Source organism: Homo sapiens, chromosome 7 (assembly GCF_000001405.40).
Source record: "Homo sapiens chromosome 7, GRCh38.p14 Primary Assembly".
Lineage (NCBI taxonomy): Eukaryota > Metazoa > Chordata > Mammalia > Primates > Hominidae > Homo > Homo sapiens.
In genome coordinates, this window is record NC_000007.14 from 123,627,421 (window position 1) to 123,640,378 (window position 12,958).

Genomic DNA, 12,958 nt, shown 5'->3' on the forward strand with positions numbered 1-12,958 from the left:
TAGATATTTAGAACTTATTTAATTTTCCTCCTTTTGATATTCTTGTACTTCCAAAAAATGAATTTATAGTACTTTTATAATGAAAAGAAATTTTCTTTTAGAAGGAATTAAGGCATAAGTGAGAATTCTGCACAAGCCACTCAAGAGTGCCTTTCTGTTTACAAATGTATTTAACAAAAGGCTACAGTTTCTAAAAATTTTGCCCTTGACAAAGGATTAAAATTTGTAGCAATACTATCAGTGTTATTCCAGTTATTTCCTAACATCTCCAGGATATTATAGTATAATGTCAAATGTATTGTTGAATAGAAAAGTTTCATTATAAGTTTATAATTTTTTATTCCATACGAACGGTTGAATAGATTCTTAAATCACAAAATGTACATAATTAACACATTGGTAGAAGTCTAGATCCCTATATTAAACTACCCACCATGAGAAGATGGTTTTAGGCAATTAAATATATTTCATAAGCTCAAAAACTTTGAAGTAATCGGGCTTTATAGTTTTCAGTGGGCCATTGGCTAAGTGGCCAGTGACGCATAATTGATGCTAAGTGACATGTTGTTAGAGTTTACCTGGATTTACTCCCAGTGTTCATAAATTCACAACAGTAGACACAAGAGATCAGGTTCTCCTTGCCTGTGACTCTCATACATGTCTGGCTGGTTAGTCAAGTGTGAAACTCACAACTATATCACATGTACTTAGAAACATAAACTGTGGCTGGTTATCTCAATTGGACTGATGCAAGGTTGATGGAATACTAAAGACTCTTCTTTTGGCTAATAATTCAATTGCAAGTTATATGGAAGCAGACAGAGTGTTCATGGTCAATATTAAAAAATAGATTGTGTAGGAATCAGTGAAAGAGGAATAATTCATGAGAATTGGAAAAGGCCCAAATTCTTGTCCTGCTCTGCGTCTAACTGTGTGACCTTGGACAATCTTTTTGCCTCTCTAGACTTCAGATTGTTCTTCTGTTAAATGAAGCAGTTGGACTGAATGACATCCAGGGTCACTTCCTATCACCCCATGATCCTAATGGTCAAGATTATGAAGCATTCCTCTGTGGCATTAGAAAGGCTTACTTTTCTTCTACATTTTTAAAAATAGTATTGGTTGCCTGTAAATATTATATTGTTCAGAGGAGAATTGGAAGATGGGGCGTGTTCTTGAGGAACTACAATTCTAGGAAAAAACATATAAGATGCAGTTTCCCAGGAATATTTAGAACAAAAAGCTAAATCAAAACTGAGCTACATTACACTAAACTAAATAGTTGTACCTCGGCAGACAAAGGTTAAATGTTTCAGTATAAAGTTATCTAGAGAAAATAAGGGAAACTATACAACTTGCATTCACTTATCTAGTGAGAACGGTAGTTTATTTAATTTCTTGATTTTCTTTATGGCAAGTAGATATTTGACTTTTTTCTTTTAGTGCACTGAAATATCTTATCCCAGTAACATCTAAAAATGCAATTCGGAAAAGTGGGCTAACACCAATTCACTCAGCAGCAGATGGACAAAATGCACAGTGTCTAGAACTGCTCATTGAAAATGGTTTTGATGTCAACACTCTACTTGCTGACCACATTTCCCAGAGCTATGACGATGAGAGGAAGACTGCGCTGTATTTTGGCGTTTCTAATAATGACGTTCATTGCACAGAAGTCCTTCTGGCTGCAGGTGCAGACCCAAACTTAGATCCCCTCAACTGTCTACTTGTTGCAGTGAGGGCCAATAATTATGAAATTGTCAGGCTGCTTCTCTCCCATGGAGCTAATGTCAATTGTTATTTTATGCATGTGAATGACACTCGTTTCCCCAGTGTCATTCAATATGCTCTAAACGACGAGGTAATGCTGAGGCTATTGCTGAATAATGGCTATCAAGTGGAGATGTGCTTTGACTGCATGCATGGTGACATCTTTGGAAATTCATTTGTGTGGTCAGAGATACAGGAAGAGGTGCTGCCAGGATGGACATCTTGTGTAATAAAAGATAACCCGGTGAGTTATGCCTTTTCTGCTTTATATTGAGTTATCATCCTAATTTAATACATGTTCATTCAATTAGGGATGTTACAAGAAAAGAAAAATAAACTCTAATTTTTCTATTTTTCTTGTTTTTTCAATTTTTGTATGCAATGATACAGGGATATAAGCATAAATCTAGCCCCCCAACCTCTCCCCCAAAAATATGTTGTTTGTTTTTTCTTGACTTGAAAACTGAATGTAGAAGAATGTGAAAATGTATGTAATTAGTCACTTCTGCCTGTTTGGTAGAATATTGGGGCCAGATGGGAAGAAGCATGACTTCTCCATGCTTTGCTGACTACAATCACATCAGAGCCAGGCGAGTCTTCAGGGCTGATGGTTTCACAGAGAGAAGCAAACAATTTATTTTTAATTTTTGTTCATTACAAGGAGAGATCTTTTATTTTCTGTAGTAAAACAGAGTAATTTTTCCATAACACAATTGAGTGTTTATGTATATGATATTAAAAATACTACTAAATTAAATTTTATCAATTCTCTCAGTTCTGTGAGTTTATTACAGTTCCTTGGATGAAGCACTTGGTAGGCAGAGTTACTCGTGTACTAATAGATTACATGGATTATGTTCCTCTGTGTGCTAAACTGAAGTCTGCACTAGAAGTACAGAGAGAATGGCCAGAAATCCGCCAAATACTAGGTAAAAACCAAAAGTTTTGCCTACAATTTTTAAATTAAGAACTTATATGGGGGAAATTTCTTAATGTCTTCTTTGATACTTTTCCTATGCTACTCTACTGTATTTCCAGAATTATCTGGGTTTTAAAATCATCCTTAACACTTCCTCTGTTGTAAGATACATATTTTCATTTTTCTTTATATTTTCCAGCTTTGTAATTGTATAATGAGTAATACTACAGCTATATTAACGTTCTGATTACAATTCATTTTAAAAATTAACTTCTATAATATCATACAATACGTAGACTGCAAGCTCCATGTGGGTAGAGATCTACTTTGTTTCTTGTTATATTTGCAAGGCTTAGCATAGTGCCTAGTAAGTAGTACATTTCAATAAATATGGAGTAAATGAATGAACAGCAGGGATTAGAATTACTCTTTTTGACATGCTTTCTCTGGGGTCTTTATTGACAAAGTCCTACCATCAAAGGTTAGTATTTGTAGACAGGCCATTTTGTCTTTTCTAGGTGAAAGTTTACCATGAAAATGAATAATACAAGTTTCAATGAAAGTACATTTTTAAATAATGCAAATACAAATAAAAACCAGAAAAATATCATAGATTTGAGATGCTTTCACTTTCAAAATATAAGTTTGGAAAAATAAACTTTCAAAACCTAGTTGGACATCAATTTCATGAAGCCTAAAGAAGCATTATAGAATTTTATATGACATTTAAATAATTTGACATTTTTAATGTACCTGAATCAGCCTTCCCCTGGAATTAGTTCTATAATAGAAGAGACTTTGCAGCAACTAAAACAGGAGTCTTGGAGAATCTGATGAGTAATATAGTATTGTTAGCCCAGAAATTGAGCTCTGGGGTCAGATAGACCTAGAATGAAATGAAATTCTGGCCTTGCCTAGGAGTAGGATTGCTAGATTATAAAATGCATATGTAATTCAGGACTGATGTTTTCATGATAAAAAGCAACAATTTATTGTTACCATTTTTGCTTCTCTAAGTGGAGGAGGATTTTTTTATTTCCTATAAAAAGACCAAGATAGCCATCCTAGTTGTGTGACTTTGAGCAAGTTACTTATTCTTCTTATGCCTAGGTTTTCCCATTGCAAAGTAGATGTAAGATAGTATTAACCTCATAAAGTTGTTGTGGGAATCTAAAGAAATAATGCATATAAGGTGGTAGTGTCTAGAATACTTAAATTACTTAATAAATTTATTTAGTTTTAAAACTAAAGTATTAACATTTTTATGTTTTTACTACATGGTAAGTTTATGTGAGGTATCTGAAATGTATATGTACAGTGTGCTATGAAATATTGTAAAGTATTATCATGCTTATTTTTTACAAATAAAAAGCTAAGCCTAAGGGAAATTACAAAACAGTCTAGACCCTATGCATTCTTGAAAACCACTTCTCTAAGTTCCCTTCCTGGACTTAAGCCCGCATTGAGAGTAAAATCAAAAATCGAGCAGGACAGAAACAAGAAAGGACCCACAAAAAAGTTGGGGTGGCAAACAGAGCCAGGAAACCTCAGAGATCTAACCACCATATTTTGAGTCATTGCAAGAAAATAATAGAGTAAGAAGCTCTGCAAAGTTAGAAGAGCTATCTGGAACCAAGCATCCTTCTAAAAAGTCAAGAAAACTAAATGCAAATAAAAATGAGCAACAGAGAGGGCGCGGTGGCTCACACCTGTAATCTCAGCACTTTGGGAGGCCGAGGCGAACGGATCACGAGGTCAGGAGATCGAGACCACCCTGGCTAACAAGGTGAAACCCCGTCTCTACTAAAAATACAAAAAATTAGCCGGGCGTGCTGGCGGGCGCCTGTAATCCCAGCTACTCAGGAGGCTGAGGCAGGAGAATGGCGTGAACCCGGGAGGCGGAGCTTGCAGTGAGCCGAGATCGCCCCACTGCACTCCAGCCTGGGCGACAGAGCGAGACTCCATCTCAAAAATAATAATAATAATAATAATAGAAAGAAGAACAGAATAATATCCCCACGGGCAATGAATACATAACTTAAAAAATGCAAACCTTCTATTTCAAAAATGAGCTAAAAAGCATGAGGAAAATAATATCAGATATGAAAGAACAATACGAGTCAAAATTTGAAAAATTCAGAAATCAGGTAACAACTGAGGAAAGATTTAGGAATAAAAATTAGAAAAAATTAATGTCAAATGTGAAGACTGAACTAGAATGAAAACAAGAACTAGCAACACAGTTGACAATACATTGAGAGATATAAAAGAGGATATGGAAGAAAAATTGTAAATCAAATATAAACGAAGAAATAGATAAAAGGATTTTAAAATATGTATATTTGTTTATTTCAATAGGTTTTGGGGGAACGGGTCGTGTTGGTTATATGGATAAGTTGTTTGGCGGTGATTTCTGAGATTTTGGTGCACCCATCACCTAAGCAGTGTACACTGTACCCAATGTGTACTCTTTTATCCCTGACCCACCCTTCCCCCTGAGTCCTCAAAGTCCATTGTATCATTCTTATGCCTTTGCATCCCTGTAGCTTAGATAAAAGGATTTGAAAGACAGCTAAAAACATTGATGACAGACAATGAATAGTCAATATATGGATAATAGGATTCCTTGAAAAGGAAAACCAAATCAAGGGAACATAAGAAATACAAAAAACTAAGTTTCAAGAAAAACTTGTAATAAAAAAGAAAGATTTGAAACTATAATATATAAAATACTATATCCTTTGGGCACATAGGCAAAAAGAACAAGTGACTTATAAGAGAAAAAAATAGATTATTATTAAACTTTTCATCAACAATACTTTATGCCAAAAGACAATGGAGTAACATATTTAAGACTCTCCTTGGAAGGAAAATGTGAGGCAAGGATGCTTACACAGCAAAATTGACTTCCAATGATCAATGTAGGCAAACTGTTGTCAGCATGCAAGAACTCAGGAAATATTGTTCCTCTTGCTGACGTCCAAAGGATCCACTAAGAAATGGCCTTTAGACAACCCAAAATGATTAGCGAGATATCACCATGAGGACTAGTATTAAACAAGGCTAACACTAAACAGAATGCCAAGACTAAGTGAGAGTTAAAAGGGAGAAGATGCAATACATAATGGTTATATGCTCTGATAAAATAGATACAGCACAATTATTTATTTTTGAATATTAGTACATAGATAAAATAAATAATATTTAATAATTAGAATACATATTTTTAAATATCTTAAAATATTGATAGTGATATAATATTAATATTGTTATGCTGAGGATGAGAGATATATTCAGTAAATGAGTAATTAAGGAATATTCCAATTCCATTACTCTTTGTATCCTTGAAACCAAGGATTGTCAGTGTGGCAGAAAGAAAATACAGATGTAATAGAGAAGAGATTAAAGAGAAATCCTGTAGTCCTGAATTTGAATTAGAAATAACAATATAAACTCATAAGCTATTTTATCTTGAAAGCATCTGTGTGCATGTGGATTATGCTGAGTGTGTGTGTGTGTGTGTGCACGCGCGCGCACGTGCGTCTGTTTACAGATAAGTCTTAGAAATAATGATGAACCCAGTAGCAATGAGCATTCCTACGACCCAGATTTTGGCCTGGAAATGCCATTTCCTAACAAAAGAAACCAGGGTTTTTGCTGGAGGTTGTTTTGTTTTGTTTTTGAGAAATGGATGATTGTATCTGGGGAAGGAAATGAATAAGATGAACCTGGAACATCTGGTCATACCAGAAAGCAAAGAAACTCTGAAAGACTACATGATTCATGACAAAAGAATTCAGGGGCTAACTTGAAGAGGCTCCAACTGGCCAAAGATGGGACAATTTAAGTTTCAAAAAGGGTAATGATTTCAATGAATTGAAGCCAATCTATTTAAATATACGATTGGTGGGTTTTTTTCTGTTTTTTTTCCTTCAACTTGTATTTTAAGTTTAAGTGTACATGTGCAGAATGTGCAGGTTTGTTACACAGGTAAACATTTATCATGGTGGTTTGCTGCACAGATCATCCCATCACCTAGGTATTAAGTCCAGCATCCATTAGCTATTCTTCCTGATGCTCAGACTCCCCCAGCCACCCCCCCGACAGGCCCCACCCAGTATGTGCTGTTCCCCTCCATGTGTCTGTGTGTTCTCATCATTCAGCTCCCACTTATAAGTGAGAACATGCAGTGTTTGGTTTTCTGTTCCTGCATTAGTTTGCTGAGGATAATGGTTTCCAAATCCATCCATGTCCCTGCAAAGGACATGATCTCATTCCTTTTTATAGCTGCACAGTATTCCATGGTGTATATGTATCAAACTTTCTTTATCCAGTCTATCCTTGATGGGCATTTAGGTTGATTCCATGTCTTTGCTATTGCAAATAGGGCTGCAATGAATATACGTGTGCATGTATCTTTACAATAGGATGTTTTATTAAATATACAATTTTTAAAAAAAACTGGTCAGCTCCAGAATATGATAGAAAATCAACTCATTATCTTAAAAACTGATAAAAGAAAGACTTAAGCATTTATTCTGCTTTACATATATGTATATGTATAAACTGTGCCATTAGTAACTAAAGAGTAGATAAGTAAAAGCATTCCTTTATAAAAGTATTCTAAATAATTTAAAAAGATATAATTAGTTATCACCATTATATAGCCTCCGATAAATTAATGGATGTAGTCAATGAGCATCAACAGCTGCTAATATGTAGCCCCCAAAGAATGAACACAGAACCTGATATAGTTTTGCCAAAGAGATCAAACCCGAGCCTGATCAAGTCTCTGTATCCAGTTATCAATTTGCAAGAAGTAGAGGAGACAGTGGGACATGGAACTGCACCATGGAAATGCAATCAGCAAAGTTCAGGCTGTGGGAAACTAAAGGGCATTTGGGTTCTTCAAAGATTAGTTGAAAAGACAAAAAGGGGATGGAGAGAATAACCTGCAGATTAGAAAAGACTTAAAGGACATAGCAAAAATTTTAAAAATGTACTGTCAATACTATAGTGCAGGGATAGTGCACTTAGATGATGAAACTCTAAAGAAAGTGATTACCATTCAGAATAGTAGTTATTTATGGTAGGAGAAAGAAATAAAGAAGAATGGATTGTAGAAGAATTTCTTTGGTCTCCGGCAAAGTTCTATTTCCTATAGACCTAGGAGGTGATTATAGATGTTCGACTAATAATTACTTACATAACTTATGAAACTATACATGTGTACTTTCTTTATTTTATTTTGCAATAAAAAGCTTAAAACCGTCTCTTTTTTAGCTTGGAGATTGCAAGACAGAGAAAAATGGTGAGGCTTAGATAAGTTAATTTCTCATAGTAATAGACATAGAAAATAACAAAGTGAAGATTTGAACCCTTGTTTGTCTTACTTGAAAACACAGACTCTACAATACCATTATACTTCCTGTCATAGAAAGAATAGACTTTGCTTTTAAATGGAAATTAATTGCTTTTTTTTTTTTTTTTTTTTTTTGCAAAATACTTACTAATTCTGATGACTTTAGAAAGACAATCCAAGTAAGAATAAGGCCAGGAAGTTTTTTTTATTGTTTCCATCATACTTTACTGCAACTAGAGTCGAAGCCAGTTGATTGCTATGAGTGTGATTAACCACTGGATGTCAGGAGTCCTCCAGCTATCTGTAAGGCAGCATATTGGTTAGGAAAAAAAAAAATTGTCTATTTTTTAGATTTTTGTTTTGCTTATTTTGGTAATGTTGCATCAATAATTTTTGAGAACATTGTTTTTAATTTTAAAAGATAAATTGTTTATATCATCAAATGTAATAGAGATGTGATCATGTTTATTATTGCACTGAATGACAGTTAATATTTATCGAATGGTTACAATGTACCAAGCACTTTTCTAATACTTTACATGATTTGTTTAATCTTCAAACAACCCTACGAGATAAGTACTGTTGTTATCCTTATTTCACAGATGAGAATACCAAACTCACAGACATTAAGCGATTTGCCCAAGGTCACACAAATATTAAGGGGCAGAGCTGGGAGTTTAATCCAAGCTGACCAGGTCCAGAGTGCACATCTAAGCCTGAATGCTATGCTGCTCCTTCATTCATTCATATTGCTGCTATAAAATCTCAATCTTGCAATTATAATATAGATAAAGTAAGAATTGAAAATATCAGATATTTAAATAATGTTAGTATATTTTTTGAGAATATACAAGGTTTAAGTATTAGACACTGGAAGCAAAACTCAGATTGGATTATTCATGATCTATGGAATCATCTGTGTCGATGTTTCATGGATAGTTATTTATCAGACAGATTGGTAGGAGAAAGAAAGTAAAGAAATATATAATATTTAGCTCTATAATACTTAGCTCTAAAAAATAAAGAAGAGATGTGAGCATTTGCTTTCTTCAGTCCATTTATTCATTCCACAAATTCTAGTTGAACACCTACCATGAGCCAGACTCTCTTCCTGGCACAGAGACAGACTAAATTTCTGCCCCCATGGAGCTTACATTCTAGAGGAGTAGACTAGAATGCTCAATTACAATTTGAATTTCACTTAAAATCACCAGTTGCTAAAGTGTGCATACATGTTTTTGAGAATACACTACTCATGTTATTCTGAAACAGTCATATCTTAGGGGCCAATCCACTATTTAAAAAATTTTTTTGCTTATTTTCCCGATTTCTTTTAGAGAATCCTTGTTCATTGAAGCATTTGTGTCGGTTAAAAATTCGAAGGCTTATGGGTCTCCAGAAACTCTGCCAGCCAGCCTCAGTGGAGAAGCTTCCTCTACCACCAGCTATTCAAAGATACATATTATTTAAAGAGTATGATCTCTATGGACAAGAGCTAAAATTGACATAACTTAATATTTTAAAATGTGATTTAAAAAAAATGTTGAAATGTGATTCCCTCAGATAATTTCTTGTAACCATTTTACATCCTTAATTGTAAAGTGTATTTAAATTCATTGACAGTTTTATAGGTTATCATGTGTTCTTATGGGAACACCATGATTTATGTCTTTAAAGACATTTGCATTTTTTAAAGATAGTATTTTGAACTTAGATTTGTATCTTTGTTTGCTACAAGTCATCAAACTCTCCCTATCAAGTGGCTCCTACAATATCCACAATCAAGTCTCTATGTTTAAAAAACAGATAACCACTTTCTCAAACCCACATCTGCCAGTTGCTGGCCAGATTCTCCTGTCTTTCACGGTCTTGCTGTGTAAAAGAGCTCCTCCTGCCTGTAAGTTCACAGACTGTGATCTGGCATCTGACCCTCCACTGCTTTTCTCAAGGTCCCTGACAATCTCTTTGTTGGTAAATTCAGTGAACATTCTTCAGTCCCTCTTCCAATCGATTCCTACAGCATCTAACATTGTTGCCTGTTCCTTGCTTGAAATGATATCTCTTTCCTTGTTTCTCGCAAAACCTGTTCTCTTGGGTGTCCTCCCACCTCCCTGGACACTCTGTCTCTGGCTTCTTTCTGCCTAGCTCATCTCTAGCCAATCTTACAGTTATATATCTTAAGCCCTCTTCTCTTTGTTCTTTAAGTTATATATCCTAAGCCCTCTTTGCTTTGTTCTCTGGGATATTTTATCCACATCCATGGTCTTAATCATTTTGCTAGAGACTACAAAATTTCCATCCAAAGCTCAGCTCTTTCTCTCATGTTCTCCTGACCTATGTAGACAATTGGCCTCATGAACATTTGAACACAAAGACACCTCAAATTCAACATGTCCCCAGATGAACTAAAAAAAAAAAAAAAAAAAAAACCTCTTTCCCGAGCTCAGTAGTTAGCACAATGCTCAATTCAGTTTCCAAAGAAAAAAGCCTGGACATTAGGTTTGACCATCCCATTTTCCTCACCCAATAAGACAAATCACCAAATCCTATTAAGTTTATCTCCTGAAGTCATCTTCCACTCAGCAGCCCCCCACCACCCACCCCGCATTTGGCCCTAAGTCTATTATCTTCTTTTTCCTGGGATAATACAATGCTGCTTATCTGGCTCCCCTGACTCTGTCTTGCCCTGTCCCAAACACTTTCTACATACAGCATCTCAGAAGAGTCTTTTACAAATATAATAGAGTTTCACTTCTCTGCTTAAGATCATTCCCATTGCTCTTAAATTCCAAAGTTCTTACTTGAACTTTCATGATCTAACTCCTGCCTTCTTCTTTAGCCTCATCTCTGGATGTCTACCTTTCCTCCTTTCCCTTGAACCTTCTAGAATTTTATTTTTTAAACACTGATTCCCAGACTTCAAGGTGTCATACACTAATAGGTTTTATTGTGTTTATTTTTCAAAAAGAGTCATTAAAAAATACCATCTACTATCACCATCATTTCATAAAAGAGGGGTCATTTTAATGCCAGAAAGTAAGATGGTCATAAATTCAGTCATTCAAGTTGAATGACTTTTACCTTGAAAAGACCTCACACTGCTCTCATTTCCCCATTGACGAGTGAGAATTTCACTGTGGGCCATCAAATATCTGAGGACCTTTGTATGGGGAACCTCTGCTGTAGAATAGACCATGCTCTCTTTTAACCTCAGGGTCTTCGCATTTCCTTCTCTCATCTGGAACTCTCTTTCCGCTTTTTTTGCACCCTTTCACCTGATCAACTCCCACTTACCCTATAGGTCTCAGCTGAGATGTTGCTTCCTCTAGGATGGGAAGCCTCAGCACAGAACTTGTCATGCCATATTATAGATGCCTGTGTTCCCTGCTGTCTTCCCACTAGACTATAAGCTCTATGAGGGTAGGTTCTATGTTTGTTTTGTTTTCCAGTGCTTTCTCAGGGCCAAACACATTCCCTAGAGCATGGAGTTCAATAATTGTTTGTTGAAATATATTGAATAAGTGACAAAAATAATCAGTGACATCATGGTGAAATAATAGTTTTAAATTTCTGAGTGAGTTATGTAATCTTGTAATTATTTAATGCTATTATTCTTAGATTTTAATAGTGTATTTTTCTTATATTTATTTTTACCTTGTTACCGTATTCTTTAAACAGTAATATCTCACTGGTCTGTAAAGTTTTCAAGTTGTATTTAGCTTTAGTTACCTTTGAAAGATAAATAAGTATGAAAAAAATCGTACAATTAGGGCTATAATTTTAACTTCTTGTATTCCCTAGAGGATATATTTTATATGTAAGTTAAACTGTAATGTATTTATATTTAATTGCAACATCTTGTATACAAGATTTTATTATTCTTGTGTTGCACTCTTAGACGTGGTTAAATGTATTGTTACCTAAAAATATTACTCTAATGAATAAAAAATCATATTGAGGTTATAAGTCTGCTTTATGATACTTCATATATTAAACTTTTGCTCACTAAAGCTGTGACATTTTCTTTGATATATATTTGTGTAGATAATATTCAAGAAATACTTGGATATAAAGATATGAATTAACTGCACATGGTATGGGTTTTTTAAAGTGGCTTTTTGGCATTTATGAAGCAAGAGAAAAATGTGTCTTATGAAAAAGAAGCAATTGCTGTATCTAAATCAGATTTGATCTTTTGCTCACCATATTTTGGGTTTTTCTAGCAGTGTGTTTGTTTTTGAGATGGCTGGATGGAAAAAGGAATTAATTTCCATCTTATTAGGACTCTGTTTCTTCTAGAGTATGTCACTTTATCCGGGAAAGGGTAACAGCTGCTCCTCCCTAGTCAGCATTAGGAGAAGCCAAACATTCTACAGTGGAGCCTGTCTAACCACTGTGGAATCAACATGGCAGAGTTTGGATGCCATCTTCCCCCATGCTGCCAAGATGTCTGTGGCTGTTTTAGTCCCTGTGGATTTTGTTTTGTATCACACAGAGTGTCCGGGTGGAAAAAAGCAGATCTGAACTCTCATTAAGCATGTCTTATCTTTCCATAGGCCATCATTAAATAGGATCTCCATTTCTGGCTAAAGATAATTTTAAGAAGGACACTGAAACCAAGTGCCTCCTGAAGAATATGGTTTAATCATTTTAATTAGTCATAGAACATGTTTTCTGTTAATAGGATGTCAATGCAGAAGATGTGAAAACGATTGTATCAATGTGCAGCAAATATTCATAGGTAACACCACCTTTAATGCAGGCTTTTGAACAACCAGAACCTATGGGTCAGACAGTATGGAAACTCTAACAAGATGGAGTATCTTATGACACAGAGAACATACGTAAGCCTTTCTCTTGTCACTGACCTTTTACCAGAAATTCCTATGCAAATTTTGGTTTCAAGT

At 34.9% G+C, this 12,958-nt stretch overlaps 1 protein-coding gene across 12 annotated transcripts in view, besides 1 other annotated feature; it reads left to right on the forward strand.

The window, feature by feature from the left end:
- The window catches only part of ASB15 (ankyrin repeat and SOCS box containing 15), a 72,474-nt gene extending 60,413 nt beyond the window's left edge, over nucleotides 1-12,061 (forward strand). For 11 of the 12 annotated variants that reach the window (XM_011515819.3, XM_017011757.2, XM_011515818.3 and 8 more), the window contains 3 exons: nucleotides 1,444-2,014; nucleotides 2,546-2,699; nucleotides 9,389-12,061. In XM_011515819.3, coding sequence (XP_011514121.1) covers nucleotides 1,444-2,014; nucleotides 2,546-2,699; nucleotides 9,389-9,561 — 898 coding nt within the window. In that variant the 3' untranslated portion in view covers nucleotides 9,562-12,061. The remainder of the gene's footprint in view (nucleotides 1-1,443; nucleotides 2,015-2,545; nucleotides 2,700-9,388) is intronic. The other variant, NM_080928.4, reaches the window with a different exon arrangement.
- Nucleotides 1,574-2,131: an enhancer, noted in NCBI's record as "OCT4-NANOG hESC enhancer chr7:123269048-123269605 (GRCh37/hg19 assembly coordinates)". NCBI's record gives its function as "activates a minimal SCP1, AML or CMV promoter by ChIP-STARR-seq in naive H9 embryonic stem cells {active_cell/tissue: H9 hESC(naive)}" and the evidence as "EXISTENCE:reporter gene assay evidence [ECO:0000049][PMID:30033119]".